The following is a 26974-nucleotide window of genomic DNA, read 5'->3' as shown; positions in this document are numbered from 1 at the left end:
GATGCCGAGGCGGGTGGATCACCTGAGGTCAGGAGTTTCAGACCAGCCTGGCCAACATGGTGAAACCTCATCTCTACTAAAAGTACAAAATATTAGCCAGGTGTGGTGGCACATGCCTGTAATCCCAGCTACTTGGAAGGCTGGGGCAGGAGAATCACTTGAGCCCAGGAGGCAGAGGTTACAGTGAGCCGAGATTGCGCCATTGCACTCCAGCCTGGGCAACAAGAGAAAAACTTCCTAAAAAAAAAAAAAAACACCACATTATTCTAATCCCATATTTGTAGTTCCCTGAAGGTATGGGACATGGATACCCACAAGAAACTGCTACAGACCATACCTCCTTAGTGCCCACACCAAAAGCCAGCAGTTTGGCAACCAAGGGCAGAACGGCTCTTCCCCAGACACTCAGGGCAAGCCCCATTCTCCTTTTGGATGATTGGACATATCATAAAAACTCCCATGAGCTCACCTCCAGAGTGGCCTGGAGTTCACTCCGTGGAGAATATGTCTCGTTCTCTCTGGAGCTGATTAGAAATGCCGAAGTGCACTAAAGGAAGAGAACACGAGCCTGGCTGCTGCTATTTACAGACCTGATAGGCTGCAGCCCCTGAGTGCCTCCAGCCTCCTGACCTTGTGTACCGAGAGCATGGGATGACGTCGCCTCGCTGGACACCTTCAGTCACCCCAGAAGTTCAGGAGGTTCCTGGTGACAGCTCATGGTGTGTGGACCCTAAAATAACTGAGTGAGAGGTGAATATGCTATTTCTAAAAAGTACAGCCTGTTCTGCTTTGGATGCCAGGGGATTATGTCACTGTATCTGTTCCTATCACAAAGGGATGCTTTTCTGGAGCGCCTACTGCGCTGCATGGATCCTGCATACATCAGGGCCAGGATTACCAACCAGGCGAAAGGTAGGACTTTCGCCTTCATCCCAAGTGAGGGATATTTGCAAGCACATAACCAAGAGAACAGGTATTCCAGTGTAACATGTTTGTGATGTGGGAGGAGGCACTGGAATCCTGAAACTCAAAGGACTCCCAGCCAACCGGGAACAGCCAAGAAAGGAGGTTCACTCCCAGGTAAGGACAGCAGCTACTTTTCCCTCAAGCATGTGATAGGTGCCAGCAGGGAGGGGAAAGTGGCCAAGCTCTTTTGCCATTGTGCCAGGAGTAAGGGCATGGTGTCCATGCTCAGCTTCCCACAAAAGGGGAAGAACACATCTAACTGGAGACCACCAACCACAGGCCTGGAAGGAACTTTGAGACAGCAAAGTGAGGTGATGAAGAGTCAGACTCAAGACTCAGGCTGTCTGGGTTGCCTGCTAATTCTGCCATTTCTTAACAGGATGCCTTGGGCAAGACCCCAAAGCCATTGTTGTCCCTGTACAAGAAGGTTAATATTAATATCTATTGTGTAGAATTTTCTAAGGACTAAACGAAGTAATGTTAACACTTTAAAACTTTTTTTAAATTCCTGGCACATTATAATAGGTGTGTATTTGTAATATCAGTGGAACATTTAGACTGTCACCTTCACTCCAGAAGGATTTTCATCTAGCCATCACACGTCACTGCATTTCTGTGTTAATGCCTGGGGTCTCGACAATCAGAAGTCTCTTCATGCTCCAGCTCTTCTAAGACCAGTGGACTAAAGATGCAGATTTTTTTTTTTTTTGAGATGGAGTCTCACTCTGTCACCCAGGCTGGAGTGCAGTGGCGCAATCTCGGCACACTGCAGCCTCCGCCTCCCAGGTTCAGGTGATTCTCCTGCCTTGGCCTCCTGAGTAGCTGGGATTACAGGCACACACCACCATGCCCGGCTAATTTTTGTATTTTTGATAGAGATGGGGTTTCACCATGTTGTCCAGGCTAGTCTCAAATTCCTGACCTCAAGTGATCCTCCCTCCTTGGCCTCCCAAAGTACTGGGATTACAAGCGTGAGCCAGTGCACCTGGCCTTGAGATGCAGATTTTTAAACGGTCAAAAATGTACAGTAAAGCAAAGGCAGGCCCTTCCCTGCCAATGCAGGTTGGAGCCTTTATGCAGCTCCCGACTCTCTAAAGATGAAAAGGCAAAGAATCCTTGTGACTGGGGGAGCTCCGCTAGAAGGAAGCTTAGGAGGGGAGAAAAGAGCCTTTTTCCTCAATTCCTACATATTTCAAACTAAACAATAGATTTCAGAAGTAATCACAATTATCAGTTTCTGTCTGGAGCAAAAAGAAATTTTCTTTGTGACAATGGAGGGCAGGGACATCCTTGGGTCCTAAGGTCTCCAGGGCCCTACAACCTGTTTCAGGATTTTAGGGGGAGGTTTTTGTTTTTGTTTTTGTTTTTAGTATTCATTACAAAAGAAGCTTAGCTTTATACTCAGGGACATGCTCTAAGCCAAATTTCAACCTTGGGCTGCAGGCTGCACCTGTGAAAACAGACTCTTCCACCTCAACCTGCCAAAGCCTGGAGCATGAGCGGCTGTTGCCATCCCATGGCATGTGGGAGGGAGGGGGTGCGCAGGCCTAGGGGAGCATCTGCCACAGCTGGGGCTGGTGGCAGCCGCAAGGGCACTGAGAAGTGAGCCTCCACCATGGCCGTGCTTCTGGCTACAAATGATGCTAGGTGGCAGGATGTCTTCCTACTCCTCTTTTATTATTTTTTAAACTAATTCTATAGCCACAAGAAGCCCCACCTTCAAATCCTGCATCTGCACCTGCTCTCTAGGATTTGAATGTTATCTCTGCAGGAACATCCCTCCAGTCTCTTCGTTACCATTTTAAGACCTAAAAGAAAAGAAACAGAAATGTGTGTTTTCTCAAGAGGAACATCTCAGCAGCATAAAACCAAACGCATACTCAGGAAATGTCTGTTAGGCTTCAAGGAATAAAAATGAATAAGAATATTTTGATATCATGAAGGAGATGAAAAAATACCTTAGGCAGATAGCAGGTGTAATCAGGCCTTCTTTCCTGATCAATAGGAGCAAAGCAAATATTAAATCAGAGTGGGGGTAGGCAACTCATTCCTTCAATTAACAAACACCTGTGTGGCACCTGCCACGCATCAGGCATGTGCTAAGTGCCAAGGAGCCATCGATGAGCCCCACAGAACTCTGCCATCACAACGCTTCCTTCTCAGGGGAGGCCAATGATAGACATGAAGGATGTAGAATTTTGCACAGTGCCAAGGGCCACAGAGGAGAGTGATGCAGGGAAGTGAATGGGTTACCATTTTAAATAGGCCAGTCAAGGAAGGCCTCAGTGAGGAGGTGATGGGAGCACTCTGCAGGGAGTGAGCTGCAGGCTCTTTTGGCAGTGTTTCAAATAACGTGACAGAAACCACCAGGGCCTGGACACAGGAGCATGACTGCTGGGTTTGGGGAAATACTAGTCGGCCCATGGGTGTCCTGAAGAAGAGACAGTGAGGAGGAAAGTGGTAACAGGGGAGATGAGAGGGGAAGCAGGGCCGAGACCACCTGACGCCTTAAATAACTCACCCTTGCTTCCTGGAATCTGGCGTGAGCTGTGAAAATCCACACGTGGTGCTGGGTGCCGGGCATATAGGGGTGAAAAAACCCGTCGAAGATCAACAAATAATCACATGAATAAATGTGAATAAGTTATACCAATTAATATATTCAGGTATCTGAACAAAAAGTACAGGGCCCCTTGACAGTATATTACAAGGTCACCCAAGCTGGAAGTGGAGGGATGTCTCCCTGAGGTCAAGACATCCAGCTGACGTCTAGCAGGTAAACAGGATGTATCCAGGAGGTCAGGGATGAGGATGCAAAGGAGGAGAGAGGGTTGCAAGCAGAGGAGAAGGCTGTGTGCAGGCTCTGAAGTGTGAGAGGCCAGTGGTTCCAGGAGCTAAAGGAGGGCCAACGTTGTTGGAGAGCAGAGGTTCAGGATGCAGGAGGAAGTAGTACCAAGAAATCTGGAATGGAGGCAGGGCCGGATCCCACGGACCTTGTAAACTGTGTTAAAAGATTTTGCACTTTAGAGCAAGGGATACCAAGAGAATTTTAAGTTAGAGAAGGACATCATTTTTTCATGTGCACTTTTAATGGAAAACAGATTTGTAAGGGCAAATGTAAATCAGACCCCTCACAGGGAAGCTCTTGCAGAAAGTCCGCATGAGAGATCCGGCAGGTGGGTCTGGGGCCGCTGTTAGGATGCATTACCTGAAGTCTACAGCACTCTTATCTCATTCCTAAGTCCCAAGCATAAAATGATGACAGGTAAGATATAAAAATAGAAAGCTAAAAGATACAGCCTATTCTCGCCAGCCGCAGTGGCTCACGCCTGTAATCCCAGCATTTTGGCGGGGCTGAGGGGGGTGGATCACTTAAGGCCAGGAATTCAAGAACAGCCTGGCTAACATGATGAAACCCCGTCTCTACTAAAAATACAAAAATTAGCTGGGTGTGGTGGTTCATGCACCTGTAATCCCAGCTATTCAAAAGGCTGAGGCAGAAGCCAAGCACAGTGGCTCACTACTGTAATCCTAGCATTCTGGGAGGCCGAGGCGAACGGATCACTTGAGGTCAGGAGTTCAAGACCAGCCTGGCCAATATGGTGAAACCCTGCCTCTACTAAAAGTACAAAAATTAGCTGGGCGTGGTGGCACGTGCCTGTGATCCCAGCTACTTGGGAGGCTGTGGCAGGAGAATCGCTTGAACCCAGGAGGCAGAGGTTGCAGTGAGCCGAGATCCTGCACCACTGCCCTCCAGCCTGGGTAACAGAGAAATACTCCATGTCAAGGAAAAAAAAAAAAAAAGAGGCTGAGGTAGGAGAATTGCTTGAACCTGGGAGGTGGAGTTTGCAGTGAGCCGAGATTGTGCCACTGCATTCCAGCCTGGGCAACAGAGCGAGACTCTGTCTCAAAAAACAAACAAACAAACAAACAAAGACATAGCCTATTCTCAAAAACGAATTAAACAACGCTGCAACTGAAAATGGGTCATAAATGCAAAGGAGTGAACAGGGCTGAAGCAACAGGTTCCAGGTCTACAAGACAGGAGGCCAGGCAGGAATCCAACTGCTGTGCTACACAATGTTGAAGACTGGGGCTGGCTAAGGCCACTCTACTACTGAAATGAATAGAGGAGGAAAGGAAAAAAACAAACAAACTGGTGTCTACCACTGCCTGAGGCTAACGTTTTTAGCAAACCACAGGCCCTGGAGGACAAAAGGACACAGATACCAAGAACTGAGCAAAGCTGCCTGGCAGCTCTGTGACTGTATCTGTGATATCACCAAATCTCATCAGTACCAGTGTTCTAAAAGCCATATGAGCCTAGGAACCCAGAGAATTGGTGGAGGAACCCTCAAAACCACTAGAGAGAGGGGCAAGCCAAGGGGAGAAAGACTAATTCAATGAAAGAAAAGTCAACAAAATCAACAATCAGAATCAAATTCATGCCAACTTAAATTTATGTTATAGAACAACATATATGTGATATGTATAGTACATATAGCTCAAATAATGGAATAATTTTCATTTAAAAAGCAGAAGAAATTATGAGGCAAAAATAGGAAACATGAACAAATTAATATAGATAATGAAAAATCTTAGAAATGAAAAATACAGTTATTAGTATAATAACAAATCAATGGGATAAACTCTAGTCTAGACACAACAAAAGAGAGAATACATGAAAAGGTAATAGTCCTAAGGAAGAGAAAGCCTATCCTCTTTAAGACTGTCAAGAGTGGGGAATTACAAAGAGAGAAAGAGTAAGGAATTGTTCAAGACCGGCAAATATGGAAAAAACAGGACAACTAAATGCATCATGCATTTCTGGATGGATTCTGGACCAGAAACAAAAAAGAGACACTGATGGGACAGTTGACCAAAACTGAATGAGATCTGTGGACAGTGCAGTAGTTGATTTCAATGCTGAGTCAGAAATTCATTAGTGAATATGTAGATAGTTGGAAAGTCATTTAGTGAATATATAGAAAAGTTTTGGGGAAACATACTCTGGAATATTTAGGGGTTATGGGGCATTATGTCCACAGCTGATTCTTAAATGGTCAGAAAAAGACTAGGAATAACCATTAGAAATGGGAAGAAAGAGAAAGAGAGAGAGAGAAATAAATGGTAATGGAACATATATAGTGAAATATTAACAGTCAATAGCTGTGAAGGATGTAGAATTCAGTCGGGGAATCTGATTGGGGACATATGTCAGTTCTTTGCACTGTTCTTGTAATTCCTCTGTAAGTTTTAACTTATTTCTAAGTCAACTACTTAAAATATAAATAGGAATTTAATTCTGTTTATTAATATGACCTAGTATCACTTTAAGCAAGAATAACTGATTCTTTTCATTCTTTTCTTCTTTTTGAGATACAGTCATGCTCTGGAATGCAGTGGCATGATCCCGGCTCACTGCAAACTCCGCCTCCCTGGTTCAAGTGATTCTCGTGCCTCAGCCTCCCAAGTAGCTGGGACTACAGGCACGCACCACCACACTCAGCGAATTCTTTTTTATTTTTTATTTTTTTTTATTTTTAGTAGAGATGTGTTTTCACGATGTTGGCCAGGCTGGTCTCAAACTCCTGGCCTCAAGTGATCTGCCCGCCTCAGCCTCCCAAAGTGCTGGGATTACAGGCGTGAGCCACCGTGCCCGGCCATGAATAACTGACTCTTGATACCAGTATTTTTTAGTCAAACAGGAAAACACTTGTCTTACATACAAGCAGCCAACAAACATATAGAAAAATGTTCATCACTAATCATCAGAAGAGATGCAAATCAAAACAACAATGAGATACCATCTCACATCAGCCAGGATAGCTATTTTTAATAAAAAGTCCAGAAATGACAGATGTTGGCAAGGTTGTGGAGAAAAGAGAGAACACTTATACATTGTTGTTAGGGATGTAAATTAGTTCAGCCCCTGTGGAAAACAGTTTGGAGATTTTTTTGAAGAACTAAAAATAGAACTTCCATTCAACTCAGCAATCTCATATCTGAGTATATACCCAGAAGAAAATAAATTGTTCTACCAAATGTTTGTTCATTGCAGCCCTATTCATGATAACAAAGACATGCAATCAATTAGGTGCCCATCAATGACGGATTTTATTTTTTAAATATGGCATAAATACACCATGGAATACTACACAGCCATAAAAAAGAACAAAATCATGTCCTTTGCAGCAACATGGATGCAGCGGGAAGCCATTATCCTGAGCAAATTGACACAGGAACAGAAAACCAAATACTGCATGTTCTCACTTATAAAAGGGAGCTAAACATTGGGTACACATGGACACAAAGATGGGAACAATAGACCCTGGGTACTCCAAAGGGTGGAGGAGAGGGAGTGAGGTTAAAAATCTACCTATTAGATACTATGTTCACTGTTTGGGTGATGAAATCAGTAGAAGCCCAAACCTCAGCATCACACAAAGTACCCATGTAATAAACCTGCACATGCACCCTTAAGTCTAAAATTTAAAAAAATAATCATAAGCTGGGTGCAGTGGCTCACACCTGTAATCCCAGCACTTCAGGAGGCCGAGGCGGGCGGATCACGAGGTCATGAGATTGAGACCATCCTGGCCAACATGATGAAACCCCATCTCTACTAAAATACAAAAAATAAGCCAGGCGTGGTGGTGCACACCTGTAGTCCCAGCTACTCGGGAGGCTGAGGCAGGAGAATCACATGAACGCGAGAGGCAGAGGTTGCGGTGAGCCGAGATTGCAGCATTGCACTCCAGCTTGGGCGATGGAGCAAGACTCTGTCTCAAAAAAATAAAAATAAATCAATAAATAAATAAAAATAAAGAGGCAACACACACAAAGAAAACATTTGTCTTAGTACCTAAAAATTATTTCTTGTTTTTTTCCTTTCTTCTTGTCAGATGGGTAAGTGTCGACGTCATAACAAGGTTTGAAGGTGGCACACCTCACACAACTGTGTGAAAACCCAATCATCACACTTAGAAACCACAGAAGATCATAAAAATTATCACTAAAGTGTAAAAATATAACTTTACTCCTCTTTGTCTTAAAATAACAATAGTTTTAAAACAACGCTCAATTAGGCTTTCATCTCAGGAATGCAAAGAAATAAGATTGTCATGCACGCATGTCAGCAGTGAATTGATTTTGACTATTCACCCCTCGGAGGGCAGAACCTCTTTAGTGAGTCAGGAAAGCTTGATTATGACCTGACTGAAGTTAAGATGTGGGAAGCTGCTTTAGTTTTCTCAGATTTCCTTTTCCGTGTGTCTGTGCCCTCAAATGCCCGGCTTTGCCCCTCTTCCCACTAGAGACATTATCTGTGCTGTTTTTTTTAATGCATAGTATTAGTTGTTTTAAATTAATAATAATAATAAAAGTGAACCTTTATAAAGTGCTTACTATGTGGATGAAGTATTTATATGACCAACTTTTCTTACAGGAACCATAGGGAAAATTAAAAGTAGAGATTTTACATCACAAAAGCAGGATTCTGTTGAAAATGTTTAATGTCCTACGTGTGGTTTATATAGTTAGGTCAGTCAAATTTTGTTGTTGTTTTTCTGTTTGTGATAACAGAGAAAACATGATATCAGATTAAAGGGTGACATGGGGTACTCCAGAGTACATCCTGAGGAAGTGATGGGATGGCAGAGTCTGGGGAATGAGGGCCTGGAGGACCAGTTAAAGGAAACAATGGTGTTTATACTAGAAAGAGAATGCTTCAAGGAAATGCAAGAACTGCTTTCAAATAACCAGCAAGACCGTTTGTGGAAGAAATTTCATTTATCCTGAGTAGATCAAAAGGACAAACCAATAAAGAAAATGTATATGATAGAATATTTTGCATTTTCTTTTTTTTTCTTTTTTTCTCCTCTGTGGGATCCAAATTGGATTTTTAAAAAGGGAACTAGCAAATGATTCAGTCTCTGACATGGAGTGATCCGTGGCCCCACGAGCCATGAACTCCTATCCCCAAACATCCATGAACATCAGTGCTTTGGAGAAGTGATTCCTAAGTAAAGCAAAACCTATACCAGATGATATCTCAAGACAATTTCAAATCTAAGCTGCTATTATGACATCTCCAAAACTACAATCACTTTGACTTGCTATACTTACAATTGAATACTGAAATATCTGGCTTATATATACATTCAGGAATGCATCTATGGTGAGGTCAGTCTGTACATAAGTGATATTTATGAATTTCAAGTACACAATAGACTGAGAGAATGAGAAGTTATTATTGAACAAATGATTCACCATTTGGGAAGGAATGGGCTTTTTAAAAGAAATACGAGAACAATGACGTCTGTAAAATAAATGTGCACTAGGCCACATAATAATTACTTCTTGTGCACCTCTAGCATATGTTAAAATCATCATGTCCATTGCTGACTAACCCCCAGTTTTGTCCTGCCCTGAGGATATGAGAGATCTCATAAAGAAGGTGCTTTAAAGAAAGGCTGCAGCCCAGGCACGAATATCAGCCGCTCTCAGACTCAGGAATAGCAACACATACTGCTTCAGGCCAAAGCACAGAGTCCACCATGACATTCATAACCTCCAGGGGTTAAGCCTGACCCATATGGAGAGAGTGCAAAAAGTCAAAGGTTTCTATGTGCCAAGAAGCATATTTTTCTTCCTTTTGGTGTCAGCAACTGTTTGAACCCCATAGCTTAGCTCATCAGAGTGGATCTTCAGGACAGGGTGGGCGGCAGGGGCGGGGGGTGGGGGAGGGGGTGGTGAAGCTGTGAAGAGCAGTGCAGGAGGTCCCTGGGGGTGATGGCACCATTATGTATCTTGATGAGGGTGGAGGTCACCCGAAGACACATACGTGATAAAATTGCATACAACTACACAGACACACATAGATGCATGTAGAAACATGAAATCTGAGTAGTCTGTAGCCTGCTTAACAGTTTTGTTCCAATGACGGTTTCTTAGTTTTGATACTATACTAAAATTAAGTAAGATGATATTATTGGATGAAGGCTGGGTGAGAGTTAAAGAGGGCTCTGTACCATTTAGGCAACTTCTGGTGAGTCTATAGAGATTATTTCAAAATAAAAAGTACACAACAAAAGAAGAAACAGAAAAAGGAGGAGAGGAAGGATGAGAAGAGGAGGAAAAAGACATAGAGGAGGAGGAGGAGGAGGAAAAGGAGGAAGGGAATGGCCCTTCAGTCACTTGCCTCAAAGCTATGGATGAAGAGGGAAATATACATGAAATGGGAATGAAGGGACACCCCATAAAAATGGATTGTCTATTTTCTAGGGAGTTGCAATTATTCCCTAACTAAACCTCAGACTTCCTTCTCTAGTCTTGACTCCCTCACTCCATTATTTTCTTGGGTGCCAGATACTCTTTTTAAAAACCAGGCCAAGTCCCTCTGGAGCTTACCCACCATTCATAGGGCACCTTGCCTCCCACCGCTCTCCACCACCCTCAAGGACTTGGCCATGGGGATATCCGTGCACACCTGGCTTCTGCATGCTTGCACTCATGCAGCCTACGGTGATGCCACTGCCTGGTATACTCTTTCCCTTCCTCTTCACTTCCTCCTTCCTCCGCTTTCAAGTCATCACTAAGTAAGTCAGAGCTGAGGTACCTATCCTCCCCCATCCCACGGCTGATCTGATTCTTTCTCCTCAGCACTCTGCTTTGTATCTCTCAGGGGATACTCAAAATATTGACACTCCAGCTCTGTCCGGGTACCGTCCAATCAGAACAGCAGCCTAAACCATCAGATCTGGCTGAACCAAACCTTCCGAGTGCATTTCGGGACCCATTTTTTCTACCCCTTAATTTGCCACATTGTTTTGAAATAATGTGTTCGTGAATCACTCTCCCTCCTAGATGGAGAGCTCCCCAAAGCAGAAACCATCCTTCTTCTCTGGGTCCTCGTGCTTAGCAGAGTGCCTGCCACAGGGTTGGGATGCAACAAATCTGTTTGGCTTACCTGACAAACATAGATGGACAGACTTCCTGACCACACTTAGCTTAGAAGCAACAACTTCACATCCAAAACCATGAGTCAGGATAGGCTGCCTTTCCTGAGGTTGTGGAAAGGCATCCAGAGGACTCATTGGCACCAAAGTCAGTGGAGACCAAAGAGAGTGCCGGATAGAGCATGAGAGCCAAATCATAAGGAGGCCATGGAGGCTGCGATGCCAACCCTCATGGTCTGGCCCCTAGGCAGGAGGGTGAGGTGGTCAGCATGGGACGGTGACCAGCCATGCAGACAAGGAGAGGGCTCCTTAGAGACCTAGAGACATGACCAGAGTGTGGCTTTCCTGAACACACACACACACACACACACGTCTCCCATAAAAGAGAAAAATTCACCAAATTTAGAAGTGTGCTGATGCAATCAAGAGTAACAGCAGCAGAAGAGTGGTAGCAATTAAGGTAGAAAGCTGTTTGCATTTCACAACTTGACAAAATTGCCCCTGCTGCTGGCCTGATTCTAATTGTGTGACGGTAATGGAAGAAGATTTAGTTTGGCAAGGTATAAGCCAAGGAGGGGGTGACACAAAGGAGAACTAGGACCAGAAGAGCTGGCCAGCCCCTCACATTCCTGAGTGATGGAGGCACCACAGCTCACTCTTTTGTAGCCTCTTCAAGGTCCAGCAGTTTTGTTTGGGAACTTCTCAATTTGGGTTTCCAGACTTCTGAATGACAGACATTGATGGGGAATTCATCATGATCTCAGCATGATTTTAGAGTCTCCCAGGCTTCCAGTCTCACAGACACTGGTTGCCCAATAGGCCTCTGACTTAGGGGATTCTAGGGGCCCAGCCCTCCTATGACCTTGCAAAGTCTCCATGACGTGGTCCTCAAGGATATGTGACTCAGGGAGGCAATTTATATATATCTACTTTATATATAAATTTCGGGGGAAGAAGGGGACGATCAAGCCAATTGATGCTTTAAGAAGAACCTGGGGGGCCAGGCGTGGTGGCTCATGCCTGTAAGCCAAGCACTTTGGGAGGCCGAGGTGGGCAGATCATGAGGTCAGGAGTTCAAAACCACCCTGGCCAACATGGTGAAACGCTGTCTCTACTAAAAATACAAAAATTAGCTGGGTATGGTGGCGTGTGCCTGTAATCCCAGCTACTCTGGAGGCTGAGGCAGGAGAATTGCTTGAACTGGGACCTGGGAAGCAGAGGTTGCAGTGACCTGAGATGGCGCCACTGCACTCCAGCCTGGGCTACAGAGCAAGACTGCATCTCAAAAAAAAAGAAAAAGAAAAAGAAAAAAGAAGAAGAACCTCGGGGTCTGTACATATATAAAGCCTTTCAGGCCACTAGGCCAAATCAGGCAGATCAATCCATTTCCTTCCAAGATGTCCCGCAAGCTGCCATAGGCATCCATTGACATGTGACTGTTCCATCTGTCCAGTTATTTTATTTTATTTTACTTTATTTTATTTTATTTTATTTTATTTTATTTTATTTTATTTTATTTTATTTTATTTTATTTTATTTTATTTTCGAGACAGAGTCTCACTCTGTCACCCAGGCTGGATTGCAGTGGCGTGATCTTGGCTCACTGCAACCTCCGCCTCCCAGGTTCAAGCGATATTCCTGCCTCAGCCTCCTGAGTAGCTGGGATTACAGGTGCCTGCCACCATGCCGGGCTAATTTTTGTATTTTTAGTAGAAACGGGGTTTTGCCATGTTGGCCAGGCTGGTCTCAAACTCCCGGCCTCAGGTGATCCACCTGCCTCAGCCTCCTGAAGTGCTGGAGTTACAGGCATGAACCACCATGCCTGGTCCCATCTGTCCAGTTCTATTCTGGAGAGAGGAGGGGTCTCAGCCAGCAGGTATGGGTCTTCACCTCTCCTCCCCTCCACCCTCCCAGCCCTTGAGGAGGCTAACTCTGAGCAGGAGTCTCCACCCGTGTTGTGACAAGTGAACAATGCTCACATTAACTGAACACCTATTTTGTGCCAGATACTTCACAGAGACACTCACATAGTCTATCTGATTTAAAGCAAAGACTAAAATTGTTCACTAGTAAGTCAGAAAGGTAAATAATTCCCGAAGTATCAATTTTAGTTTCAGTTTCATGTTCATACTGTCTCTGTTTATGGTCCGTTACTTTCTAAATTTAGGGAGGCTCCATGTTGAAGCAACTCTGCCAAGTATCATCACCTTCAGCTTGGGATCAGAGGAAGCTGAGATTTCTCATCTCACATGGAGATTCTGAACATCCATCTCATACCAAGTCAAAGAGGCGTTGCCCTCAGATCTCCCCTCGTGAGATGGGGAGTGCCTTAGAACCGTCTGCATTTCAAAATTAGTGAAATCCCAAGGTAGTTGATGGGCAGTGTCTGGAAATTCGTCAGGGAAAATGTTATTTTTGATAAATGCCAACCTCCAAATAAAAGAGAGCTCCTTCTTCCTATTACTACCTCAATGGCCAAAGAAGGAAAGGGAGAGGCAGTCTGGGAAGGGCAGGGAGGAGCCCCCCAGGGTATTTTCCGACCGGGCTTGTGCTGTGACCTGACACAGCAAAGACTAGAGAGTACTGAAAAGAAGTCATTGGCAAAGCCAAGTTTTACAACTTTGTCATCTTTGGGCCCCGTTGGTGCATTCTAGGGCTAAAAATAAAAATAAAATAACCACCCTGGTAAAGACATCAGAAGATGGCTGTGTGAAAGCTCAATGTGCCAGATCATGTCTTACGGCAAGTCAGTGGGGATTTGCTGAAGAAAAGTTTAAGGGGTCAGCCCCAGGAGCAAGAAGCCTCCACCTGGAAAGAGGGAAGAAGGAAAATGTAGAGAAGAGGCCTCTGCCAGGGACGGGGGCTCACACCTGCAACCCCAACACTCTGGGAGGCCGAGGCAGGAGGATTGCTTGAGCCCAGGAGTTTGAAACCAGCCTGGGAAACTTAGCGAGACCCTGTCTCTATTTATTTAAAAAATTTATGGAAAAAAAAAAAGAAGACGCCTCAGGAGAAGGGTTCAGAGCACACCTGAGGTCACTGCCCCATAAGACTCCAGGGGGTCTCTGTATGGGGCTGGTCAGGAGCTCACTGACCCAGAGAACATTTGACCTGGGTCACGTCACCATTCCAGCCCCTTCATTTCACAAATGAGGGCACTGAAGACGTGATGTGGTGTGCCCTAAGGTTCAGAACAGCTGGCAGCTGGCCCCTGGTATATGGGGGCATGCTCCCAAATTTAAAGCATCACTCAGGCCAATTAATCTTCGGAACCCTGGGCAGAGGGCTGCCGTAGTAACTCGCCCCGTAGGAGAGAACAGGGAGGGGCCCGACCCAGGCCAGCCACCGTCAAAGGTGTTCCAAACAACCAGGAAGAGAGTTACTGAGAACAACACTCAGCCGTGACTTTTTATTCCCCGCAGCAAAATGAAAAGAAAACAAAATAAATATCCCAGAGTCTTCGTGACTGGCAGCGTCAAACACAACTGTGTAAAGTGTTTGCAGAGAGCCATTAAAAGAACCATTTGGAAAGTTTTGTATTGTTTTCCTAAAGGCCCACGAGCTGCCCGGAGCCGACTGTGAGCTTGAAAGACTCTGCCTGACACTTTCCACTTCCTGCTCATCCTCCAGTTCCAGGATGTGGATGGGGTGAGAGGATGAGAGACTTCCTGCACCCCCAGAGCCCAGGCCCGGCTGACCCACGCGGGAGGAGGCTCTGTCCAGCGGAGCCAGGAGGAGGAAATCTTGCTTCCTCTTCTAAATCACCCAAGAGGTGGTGCAGAGGGATGTGTAGGAAGTCAGTTCATTGTTGTTGAAGTCACAGTCTGTTTCTTAAACATGGGGATAGCAACTCCGATTACATTCAAGCTGGGAAGAGGAGGGAAGTTGAAGGAAAGGTTTCCTCAGTCACTTGGACAAGCGGCTGCACCACAGGCCCTGCTACTGGCTCAAGAAGGCCACTTGAAGCTCTCAGCCACAAAATCCAGAAACCAGGCACCATGAGAGCATTGCCCTCCCATAACCAAAGGCCAAAACCGCCCCATTTCCATTTACTCATTGCCAGAAATAAGCAGGAAAAAAAGGTCTAGTTTTGAAAGCTGTTCCTCTGTAGCTCAAACAGGACCATTCAACGTGTTTGGGAGGGGGCCGAGGGAAGGAAGGCATTTTGGTGCCATTGTTAGCTGAAGAAAAAACACTCACACTATAAACATGTATAAATGGCCTGGGTAACTTCATTGCCCAAGATCCTGTTGAAAACTTTTACTCATTACTCTTGTTATTGTTATTATCGGAGACATTCCCTCCTACACATCCTTCCTTGCTCCTGGCAGGAGACAAATCTTGATCAAAAGCAAAGAATGTTCAATCTCCCCTTCCAATTAGTAAGGATGGGGCTGCCTGGGATGAAGGGGAAGGCAAGGCTGTCAGAGCCGCTTTCCACCGTTAGTAATGAATGGGAATTTTTATAGGCATTAGCTAAGCAGAATAACTTAATCCAAATAGTGACTTCAGAAGTGAGGATCAAGATTACGGTGTCCTCGCACCTCTGCTTCCTAAGGTGCTGGGATTACAGGTGTGGGCACTGTGCCCTGCCTGAGGATTTTGATTGTGAAAACTGGGAGGAAATGGCATCTAGAGCTGGGCCTTGAGGGATAAACCTTGATATTTGATCTCGGATGTTCATTGTTGGCAAAATAAGGTTGGACCAAGCCCTGATTTAATGGGAAAAAAATGCAGACCCCGTTTTCAATTGCCCTACTTATAGTATGACCTCTTTAAAGTAAATTCCAGAGACCATTCAGTATGTTGGTATATATGGTATCCTCTGTCTGTGTGGGTTTGATAGGAAGCAGGTTTTCAGTATTTATTTGATGAAAAAACATTCCTAAATTTCTCTTCATAGCTTTCTTTTCTTCCTTTATTTTTTTCTTTTTTAAAGAAATGGGGTCTTGCTGTGTTGCCCAGGCTGGCCTCAAACTCCTAGGCGCAAGTGATCCTTGTGCCTTAGCTTCCTGAGTAGCTGGGATTCCTGGAGTACACCACTGTGCCCAGCTTGCTTTTCATAGCTTCCTAAATCATGGGGCTTGTATCTCCTTCTCAGAAGTCACTATCTGGATTAAGTTATTCTGCTTAGCTAACGCTTAGTTTGAGACCAGCCTGGGCAACATGGAAAACCCCCATCTCTACAAAAAATACAAAAACTAGCCAGGTGTGATATCATGCACCTGTAGTCCCAGCTACCTGGGAAATGGAGGTAGGAGGATCTCATGAGCCCAGGGAGGTCAAGGCTGCAGTGAGCCATAATCACACCACTGCACTCCAGCCTGGATGACAGAGTGAGACCCTATCTTAAAAAAAAAAAAAAAATCATCTTTTCTTGGTGATCCCACAACATCTCCCTCATCTATTTCAATACATGTTGCCTTTGGAGTCAGATGAAATTACATTCCAACTCTGCCTCTTATAAGCTCTGAAACTTTAAGCAAGCTTTCTTTTTTTAATTTTTATTTTTAAAGTTTTGGGGTACATGTGCAGGTTTGTTACATAGGTAAATGTGTGCCATGATGGTTTGCTGCACCTAGCAATCCATCACCTAGGTATTGAGTCCAGCATGCATTAGCTATTTTTCCTAATTAAGCAAGCTTCTTAATAATCTATGTAAGGCTCTGTTTTATCAACTGTAAAAGGTCCATAATAATATAACTTACCTAATTCATTTTTCAAACACATATTTATGTGCCATGCACAATTTTAGTTACTGAAGACAAACAATGAACGAAAGAAGCAAAAAGTCCCTACTCTCATGCAGCTTTCATTCTAGAGGAATTATAGTGAGATGAAGCTAGATAAGGCATAAAGAGAGCTCAGCCCGGCACATAATAAGCACTAAATAAATGTTTCCTTGATGGATTATTAAACCAATAAATAAGTGGATAAATGAAAAATGTGAGAATTGTGGACAAGCCTTTCAAGGTGAAAGCACAGCCTTTATCCTGTTGATGCTCTGGAAATATTTATCCACTCTGAGAGTATTTCCTGCAACCTTTTTGTAGGGAGTACAGTAATTCACTTCTAAAGACTGGAAATTAAAGAAAGATTGTATTCTGATATTTAAATTAAAAGTCACACCCAAAGCAAGAAAAGGAAGACTTATTCTTCAGGTTGGTAGACATAAATCTTTCACCCTTGAAGCCCAGGGTTTTGGGGAGAAACACAGCACAGTATTTCTGATCTAGTGTTTTTTGAGATGAGTGCTGGAGCCAAGAAATTAGAAAATCCTCTTCCATCTCACGTGCAAGCGGAGAGAATCTAGGACATTTTGTTGATGTTGTTTTTCTCTAGAGACAGGGTCTCACTCTGTTGCCCAGGCTGGTCCCAAACTCCTGAGCTCAAGTGATCCTTGGCCTCCCAAAGTGCTGGGATTACAGTGTCGAGCCCCCGCACCCTGCCAAGGGCGTTTTGATATCTGCAGTGGTCCTTCTACTTCATCCTGGCCTCTCCCACTGGGGCCCGTTTCCATCTCCAGGATCATCCCTCATCAGTGGGTCTCTCTTTTCATTGACGAAGTGGCCAGGGTGTGGAGAGTCGCCTTCCTTTTAACCAACTCCTTTTCTGGTGCCAACTCCCATTTGGAGGAGAGGCACAAGGAACTATTTGTGCAGGGAGTGGCTCGGCCTTCCCTTTCAGCTCCTGCAGCCACCCCCTCTTCCTCTGATCTTTACCACCTAATTCCCAGCAGCTGGCTTTGTTGCCGCAACAAGTGGTAACTCTTTCTTAATGTAGCGCAGAGGTGTCTGTAGGCAGCCAAGCATGGGACACTGCTGGCCACAGCTGGCTAAATGTGGTTTTAGAGACTTGTTTGTGCCCCTGTGTGACTAATACTTACCTACCGGCTGGCTGGGATGAGACCTCTCTCCTACTCATCTGGAACTTGGCACACGATCCACTGGCTTCCCAGCCACTGCCAAACTCAGTCACAGGCGAGGCAGAGGGACGGGGTTTGGGTGGAACCGCACAGCAGAGCCCCCAGAGGACAGCTGGACGATTAAGCCAGGGGCTCAGAGACATTCGAATGTGTTCCTCTTTGGAGGTTTTACACCCTCCCTGCTGATTGGGGTAGCTTATGGGTGGTCCAGGTAAAACATGGCAAATAGGAAGATGCTTAACATTCTCATCTAGCTCAGCACGTCTTTGTCTATTTGCGAAAGGATACTATGGTTTTAAAAGATTCAGTTTAAATTGGTCAAGAGCTTAGAATGATGTGCAACACATAACGGGCTCTGAAATTGATCAAATAAGTAAATAAATCAATGAGTGAGAGAATGGGTGGACTAAGACACGATGAAGGAACAGGGAGGCAGACAGTCTCTGTATTCTAGGAATTTACGCAGCTGATACCCTCCAATCCCATAAAACTGCTCATGAACAGACCATATAAATTACAGTATATCTGTGTTAGGGAATACAACACCATGTGGCTGTTTAAAAAGATAAGGCATCTGTATACATATGGATATGAAAAATAGCTGAGGTCTACTTTGTGTAAAAAACAAAAGCTGGAGAGAGAACAGTATGGATAACATGCTATCATTTTTGTAGGTAAATTTTTAAAAATATATGTTTGTAAATGCGTAAACTATCTAGAAGATAACGGCATAAATGGTAATAGTGGCTGTGTCTGAAAGGAACAATTGGTGGCTGGGGGTTCAGAGATAGATGAAGACGTTCTTCTCACTGTGTACCCTTTTATACCCTGTATAAAATTTTAAATTTTGCACCTTATATGTGTATTATCTATTCAAAAAAAATAGTAAATTAATTTTTATTAATAAAAAATAAAATTGAAAGACTAAGGTAGATCTGTATCTTCAGAAATAAACAGATATCAGTCATATATTTAAAATGAAAAAGAAGGCCGGGCACAGTGGCTCACGCCTGTAATCCCAGCACTTTGGGAGGCCAAGGCGGGCAGATCACCTGAGGTCAGGAGTTCAAGACCAGCCTGGCCAACATGGCGAAACCCCATCTCTACTAAAAATACAAAAATTAGCTGGGCATGGTGGCGGGCACCTGTAGTCCCAGCTACTCGGGAGGCTGAGGCAGGAGAATCGCCTGAACCCAGGAGATGGAGGTTCTGATGAGCCAAGATTGTACCACTGCACTCCAGCCTGGGTAACAGAGCAAGACTCCGTCTCAAAAAAAAAATAAAATGAAAAAGATATCACACAAAAGAAGTATGATACCATTTCTGTTTTTTAAAATACTCTGCATGTGTATGTGTGAATGCATGCATGTGTGTGTATGTTAAGATCTTTAAAAAACAGTTGTGAGAAAGGGATAGTGATGAGGCGCTCACTTTTTGTTCTGTATATTTCTGTATTGTATAAAGGCTTTATAATGTGTGTTTAGGAATTAATAATATAAGTAAACAAATTAGCTTTATATGTACTGATCAGTAATGATCTCTTAAGATACAGTGTTAGGTTAAAAAGCGAGGAACAAAACAGTGTATATATTATGCAACCATTTGTGTAGGAAATCGCCCATGAGTGTAGACATTTTCTGAAAGAGTTTATGTCCATCTGGCATCACTGGTTCCCTTGGTGGAGGGAAAAATTAATTTGGAAAATATAGAGCTTCCTTATTAGACTAGACTATGTCAATGAGATTGAAAGCCTACAAGAAATTGGAAAACCACATTTTATTTTTTTCAACACATGTACACAGGATTCTCACTGTAGAACATTGTTTTCATGGGAGACAGTGCTCAGCCGCACCCACAAAGACACCCCCTCAAAAGATCAGACACAGCTCCTCTCCCAATCTCTCTGCAGTCATCATCCTACCAACACCGAGCCCAGAGGCCCCACCCTGCATAAAATAATATTGAGGCTGGATTAAAATCAAACTACCGCACTATTGGCTCAAATTCTTAACGCTCAAGAATTACTTGTCAACTGCCTACTCTGCAACACTGCCAATACCCATCCCCATTTGTCTCTTAAATATGTCAGGATCATAGACATAGAGGCTCATTTTTTAAAAAATCAGATTAGTATAATGTGATGGATTGCTTATTTTTAACTCTACCTCCTTCAAACCACAGAGAGTGGGTAGAGGGTACATTCTGTCAGAAATTCCCTTCCTCTGGACAAAGTCACAATTTTATGTATAAATAAACAATTTGTCTAGATGTTTAATGGGTAGCTCCTAAAATAACTCTAAAATATCCCTAAAACTGGACCGGGTACAGTGGCTCACACCTGCAATCCCAGCACTTTGGGAGGTCGAGATGGGCAGATCACATGAGGCCAGGAGTTCAAGACCAGCCTGAACAACATGGTGAAACCCTGTCTCTGCTAAAAATACAAAAATTAGCTGGGTATTGTGGCACATGTCTGTAATCCCAGCTACTCCGGAGGCTGAGGCATGAGAATCGCTTGAACCCAGAAGGTGGACGTTGCAGTGAGCCGAGATCATCACCACTGTACTACAGCCTGAGTGACAGAGTGAGACTCCGTCTCAAAAAAATAAAATAATAAATCCCCAAAATTAGCCAAAATTTTCAGAAGTCCCAGAAGAATGTCCTGTCTGTTCACTCCCTGCTACCCCAACCCAGGCTCTGGAGGCCCTGGCTGCGGCTCAGCCCCTCCTCTTCACCAACTCCTCCCTCCCCTCCACATCAGCACCACTGACAAATGGGGCGACTCATGGTTCACCCCAAATACCTGGCACTTCTGCCCATACCATCCCGATTGCTGGAAGGTCTTCCCCCCTCAGCTAACAATCTGAAGCCTGCAATGAAGACCAGCCTAAGCCCAGAGACGTTCTTCTTTTCCTAACCACCCCATCCTAGACAGCGCTCTCGTCTTCTGCATGGTAGGTCTTGCTATGATATCAACTACTTCTTTGGCAATTCACGGTGCCCTGTCCTGGGAGAGATGACTCTTCTCTTGTGATTTCCATGACTCTTTCATTTACTGGTATTAACTAGAACGAGAAAGACCCAGGGCTTACAAAGGAAAAAGAGAAGTCTGGGCTGGCAGGACAGGAGGTGGGTTTTGGGCAGAATCATGTCCAGCTTGACAGAAAAGACAGAAATTGAGTTGGAGATCCCAAGGCCTTGACACTGCCTTCCTGTCAAGGGGTAAGAACTGTGGCGATGAGAGGGAGGGGAGAGAGAGGGGGCAGTGTGTGCCACCAGCTTCACCTGCCATGGTTGCCTCCAGCCTTGTCAAAACTCCAGAACCCTGAGCACTGGTGTGGGGTCTAGTGGCAGAAATGTCAGTGCTTCCCCTCCAACCCCCAACTTCAATGTGCTTTCAGTTCCCACAGCCAGCACCCAAGGCTCTGCTCTGGAGGACTTCCAGGGCTGCTGGAGCCCCTTTGTCCAGAGGGCAGAGAGCCGAAGAGCCTGAGAGTTCTTTCCCCAGGGTAGGTCCAGTGACCGACAGGTGCTAGGAGAATTCTGAATCATCCCTAATAGTTCAGGACTCTTCTGCAAAAATCAAGCTGAAGCTGCCCTCTGTGGGGACTGATGGCGGCGGTATCTCTTTCCCTCCTGCTCCTCCTCCTCCCTTACCTGGCTCCTTAATAAGCTACTGGCATGCGAGTCCTTCTCTGAGGGTCCATTTCTTCGGAACTTCATCTAAGATGGTGAAGTGGGGGCTAGAGAAACATCCTTGGCACATCATGAAGGCAAGTGACGTGGGGGGTGTGTGTGTGTGTGTGTGTTTAATTTCCAAAAATACCCAAGTTCCTTGGTGCCTTGGGAGTGGTGGCAACACTAGGAGATGCAAGCTAACAAGGTGGTGATTTGACTTCTAGAATACTCATAGTTCATAGTTCATTGGCTAAACTGAACCATGAGCAACCTAGGTCAAGGGCCAGGCATTAGGCTTGCCCTGTAATCATCATTAACACATTCTGGATGCTCACTATGTGTCAAGCACTGTGACCATTCTCTCTTTTTTCTCTTTCCTTGAAGTAGCCTCCACATTATAGATTAGGAAGCTGAGACTCTGAGAAATGAAGTACTTTGCCCAAGGAGACACAGGAAAAACCAAGCCTGCTTTTCCCACTGTGTGCATGTCCACGTGATTCCAGACTCTGCGTCGCTCCTGGGCCCACCCCAGGACCTTGGAGATCAGGCTCACTCCAAACTCGCTACTGATTTCTCTGAATGGAAGAATCCTCAAAATAACCAGAAAGTTCTAAGCAGATTGCAAAGCAAAATGACCTATTTCACTAAAATCTTAAGTAATCTAGTAGGGGCCAGGAGAGTGTTAAAAACAGTTTTGTTGTAAGATCATCGATTTCCTCCATCCCTGCCCTCCACCTCACCTAAATAGGCACAGTAGGAAATACGTCTGAGGTCTCTATGGTTGACATGACTTAAACTTTAACTTTAGAACTTCCCCATTTTTCCCTAGTTATGTATGAGTTTTACCTTCTTTCCTTCTGCCCTTCACAATAGGCCAGGTGAGAATTTTTATAGAAATGTTCTTTGTACACTTATAAAAATTGAGGGGGAAAAAAGTGAACACTGAGCTTTTCTGGGTGTCAGGAAATGGTATCTATCTTATAAAACCAAACTCAAAACATATTGTGGGTCTTATTAAGAAACAGTACCCACACCTGTAATCCCAGCACTTTGGTGGCCGAGGCAGGCAGATCACTTGAGGTCAGGAGTTCGAGACCAGCCTGGCCAACATGGTGAAACCCCGTCTCTACTAAAAATAAAAAAAAATAGCCGGGCGTGGTGGTACATACCTGTAATCCCAGCTATTCAGGAGGCTGAAGCAGAAGAATCACTTGAACCTGGGAGGCAGAGGTTGCAGTGGGCCAAGATCGCACCACTGTACTCCAGCCTGGGCAGCAGAGTGAGACTCCATCTCAAACAAACAAACAAAAGAAACAGTACCACACAGATGCATATTAACACCCGTAATCCCAGTACTTTGGGAGGCTGAGGCAGGAGGATCGCTTGAGCTCAGGAGTTTGAGGCTGGAGTCAGCCGTGATCATACTACCACCTGGGTGACATAAACAAGGTGATGGAGGAAGGCTCCCCTAACATCAGTGGTGAGACGGTTGAGGTTGACAACATGGACCTCCTCGGTGCACAACACCATTTCTATAGCATCCCTGCCAAGAATGCCCGACCTGAGTCAGAGCATGAGGAAACGTCAGGCAGACCCAGGCACGGGCCATTCTACAAGGTAGGGGAACACAGGGGGAAGACTAAAGAACCACTCCAGATCAGAAGAGACTATAGAGGCTTCACAACTAAATGTAGCATATGAGCCTGAATTGTATCCTGGACCAGAAAGAAAGAAGTGGCATTCTTGGGGTAGTTGGCAAAGCGTAAATGGGGTCTGTGAAATGATAATGGATGGGGGTGTGGTATGTGCACCTGTAGTCCCAGCTATACGGGAGGCTGAGGCAGGAGGATTGCTTGAGCCCAGGCTGCTATGATCGTGCCACTACACTCCAGCCTGGGCGACCAAGCAAGACTCATCTCTAATAAAACATTTTTTAAAAAGAAACAAATGATCATGTAGGAAGGTGGCTTGGATGGTTGTATGATGGTGGTGTTAGAGAGTGTCCCTGTTTGGAGGAAATACACACTAGAATAATTAGGGCTGATGGAGTAGCATGTCAGCAACTTGTTCTCAGATCGTTCAGAAAAAGACTATGTATTAATTATTTATCTATGTATAATATATATAAATAAACGATATATATGGAGAGAGACAGGGCAAGAGAGACAGCCTGCAAATACAAAATATTAACAATTTGGGAATCTGGGTGAAAGGGAGATAAGGTTTTTCTCATTTCTACAAGTTTAAAATTATTTTTAAATAAATTTTTTTTTAAATTTGGGATTTACACAGGACTTGAGATGATCAAGAGAGGAATTGGAATGGGGTTGAAAAGCTAAGGAGACGAGAGATAAAGAAAAGAAAGTGATAAAGCAATTTATGACCTACCTTCTTCCTCTTGTTCCTTTTTAAAATAAATAAATTGATGTTGGGCACAGTGGTTCATGCCTGTAATCTCTGCACTTTGGGAGGCCAAGGCAGGAGGAACACTTGAGCCCAGGAGTTTGAGATCAGCCCAGGCAACATTGTGGAGACCCCATCTCCACAGAAAAAATAAAAATAAAAAATAGCCAGGCGTGGTGGTGCACAACAGTAGTCCCAGCTACTGGGGAGGCTGAGATCGGAGGATCGCTTAAACCTGGGAGGTCGAGGCTGCAGGGAGCCACGATCGCACCACTGCAATCCAGCCTGGGTGGGCAAGGGAGACTCTGTCTCAAACAAGAAATAATAATAATAAAATAAAATAAGTAAATAGAAAAATATCTGCCATAGAATCTTAGCTGGTTCTCTCACATGCCAAATCCTACTCCATGTGTTCATTATTGTGTAGTGGAAAGAGCACGAGCTTTGCTGTCGAAGGGACCTGGATGCAGACACTGCCGCAGCCTTTGCAGCTTCATGCTCTTGGCACATCGTCTACCCTCTGAGCCTCCGTTCTCTTACATGTAAAATGGAGATAAATACACATATCTCACAGATCATTAGAAAGATTGGGAGAGATCCTTACAGACAACACGTGGGTCATCTGGGAGCAGACCAGGTCGGGTAAGTTATTGAAATGGAGTTCTCATTGAGAACTCACTACTGTTTGGGGCTTACATTGTGCATGAGTGAGTTTTTGGATACTGAAAGCTTAACTTTCACTCCTGAGTCTGTCACTTGACAGTTTGGGTTTAAAGCAATCCAAAAAAATGTTGCAGTTAGGGATCAGGATTGTTATATCCAGAGAATGGTATAAAAGGGACCTCAGATACATTTACGATTCTGACACCCAGTGAGACACCCACTGTTTAAACAAATTCGTAACTTGCTGAGTGTTATTTATTTACCCTGTGCTTGGCGGAATGTGCACAGCAAAATTACCTCCATCTACTTCTGAAAAAAAGTAGTCATCAGTCACAGCCTCTCTATTTATTACACTCTGAAATTTATTACATTTCAAATAAAATGTCTGTCTCTGACATTGGCTGGCCTTGTGGTAGGGTTTCAGTATTGACCAATATTGACCTGGTCAGTTTCCTTGATGGTGAGCCCCTCAGCTCCCATCTTTGCAACCCACAGAGATGTAGCCACTGGTGGAATCAGAATTTCCATATGGGAGAGGATAAGGTTAAAAGGGGAGAGCTGGGGAACTTGTCTTAAAGGAGCGTCTTTATAGCAAGCATACTTTTGAGTTAAGTTTAATAAAAATAATGTTCCTTTCAGACTTCACGTTGAATTGAAAAATAGCAATTGTCCAGATTAAAAGATGTTATTAAGATCATCATTTTTCCTGGGTAGCTTTGCAGGGGCCGATGGAGACTACAGAGGATGATGACTCCACCGGTGGGCTCAGCCACTGTCCTCAGCCCAGCACTGGGCATGGAGTGACTCTCATGCCAGCCCATCCCTTTCTTGTCAGCTGAAATTCAGGGACTTCTAGACTCAAATCTCAATCAATGACAAGGCAAAGTCAGACACTGTGCTTTCACTGTGCTATTAGGTGTGATTCCGTCTGTCCTGAGACTCTTAAAATTCTAAACTTCTGCCATCTACAATCAAGAGCAGGAGACAAGGCAAACACATGCGAGAAATAAAGGCAAGTAGAATCCAAATGAGCTATATAACTAATCACAGCCATGCAGTTATGGGTGGAGAGGGCACTCTGGAGTGAGGGCAGGGATGGGGGCCGCTAGGATCCATGGGGGCTCATCTGGCCAAGGGGGCGGTCAGCAGGCCAAGCTCTCACTCTGCTGCTAATTGAAAACAAAGGGAAAGGTAGATGTTATTTCAGATCCTCTTGCCAAGACAGATGATAGAAGTAGTCATGAGGAGCCATCTTAATATTTTTTTCATTGATGGCCCCACCCCAAGGAGCCTAAATGGCCGAGCCACCCCCAGATTCCCAGGTTCGGCCCTTCATTCTTTCCAGGGACTGCTCATGGCCTCTACTTGCCTATCCCTAGGAAGATCTTTCTGCCAAGCTTGGAAGCAGGAAGAGCAGGCTTTTGGAGGTTTTGGCAAATGGATTTGATAGCTACTCTGCATCCACTTTTCTAGTTTGTGGTTGCAGGACCAGGTGCCTGGTGGGAGTCACGATCCCTGGGGAGACACCTCCCAGGAGCCACCCTCAGTCCTCAGAGGGCCTTTGAGTCCAGGGACAGACTTCCTGACAGAACAAACATATCTGAAGCTCAGAATCTTCTCTCTTGTCCACAGAAGCCATCCTGTAGACCTGAAACACTTAACTAACTGATCATTAATCATGAGGAACAGGTTTTGTGGGCAGCACTCCCATGCAAACACCCAACTGCCATTAACTTGCGTGGCAGATGTCGAGAGGTGAGAACGCTGGGTTCTGAATACAAGGAATGTGTGTCTCCCAGGTTGGGGGCCGATGAGGTGAAAAGAGATTTGTGCGATGCAAGCTATCTCTCCCTTTCCTTTCTTCCTCGGATTTTTCTCTATCTTGAGTAAAGTTCAGTTTTCAGAGATCAAACCTGGTTGTAAACACAGCCTTTAAAACCTTTGCACTGCTTTACTGCAGAATTTATGGTCTGTTTACCTTTGAGGTGAGGAGCAGGCAGGAGAGGTAATCCTGAGCCTTTGGTGGACGCCTCAAAAGAAAAAAGGGATACGGGGCACATGAATAAAAATACTTCCTTGTTCCATCCGTGATTTGTGGGTGCAGAATTCTTCCCCAGAGAGGTCATGCCCTAAGGAAATTGGCCCAACCAGCCTTTTGTAACCATTAAAACAAGTAAGTCCTTGAGATCTTCCCCATTCCAGAAACTTCTGGAAACGCACAGATTTGGGGATTTGGAAAATGCACATGAGAACAACAGAGGCAGGTGCCTCAGTGGTGATGTGAGGTGTCGCTAGCACTAATGCCCTCTGGGAATTAAAGGCCAGGCCCCAGCACGGCATAGGAGCTTCCTTAAGGGGAACCAAGCGCAGCCACCAAGGG

The 26974-nt window shown here is 44.7% G+C and overlaps 1 long non-coding RNA gene and 1 other non-coding gene across 3 annotated transcripts; one reads left to right on the top strand and one right to left on the bottom strand.

The window, feature by feature from the left end:
- Window positions 1-739: 739 nt before the first annotated feature.
- Window positions 740-25611, top strand: LOC105372018 (uncharacterized). Of its 2 annotated transcripts, none has more exons than XR_001753369.2 (3): window positions 740-1080; window positions 24359-24573; window positions 25511-25611. It is a non-coding gene; the product is annotated as an uncharacterized LOC105372018 (long non-coding RNA). The 2 variants fall into 2 exon arrangements; XR_001753368.2 differs by having other exon boundaries at window positions 25309-25611.
- LOC124904367 (small nucleolar RNA U13) lies at window positions 7866-7967 on the bottom strand. Its single transcript, XR_007066485.1, has one exon. It is a non-coding gene; the product is annotated as a small nucleolar RNA U13 (small nucleolar RNA).
- Window positions 25612-26974: the final 1363 nt, after the last annotated feature.

Source organism: Homo sapiens, chromosome 18 (assembly GCF_000001405.40).
Source record: "Homo sapiens chromosome 18, GRCh38.p14 Primary Assembly".
In the NCBI taxonomy this organism is placed as follows: domain Eukaryota; kingdom Metazoa; phylum Chordata; class Mammalia; order Primates; family Hominidae; genus Homo; species Homo sapiens.
Note: the sequence above shows the minus strand (reverse complement) of the source record. Positions and strands in the feature narration are given on the sequence as shown.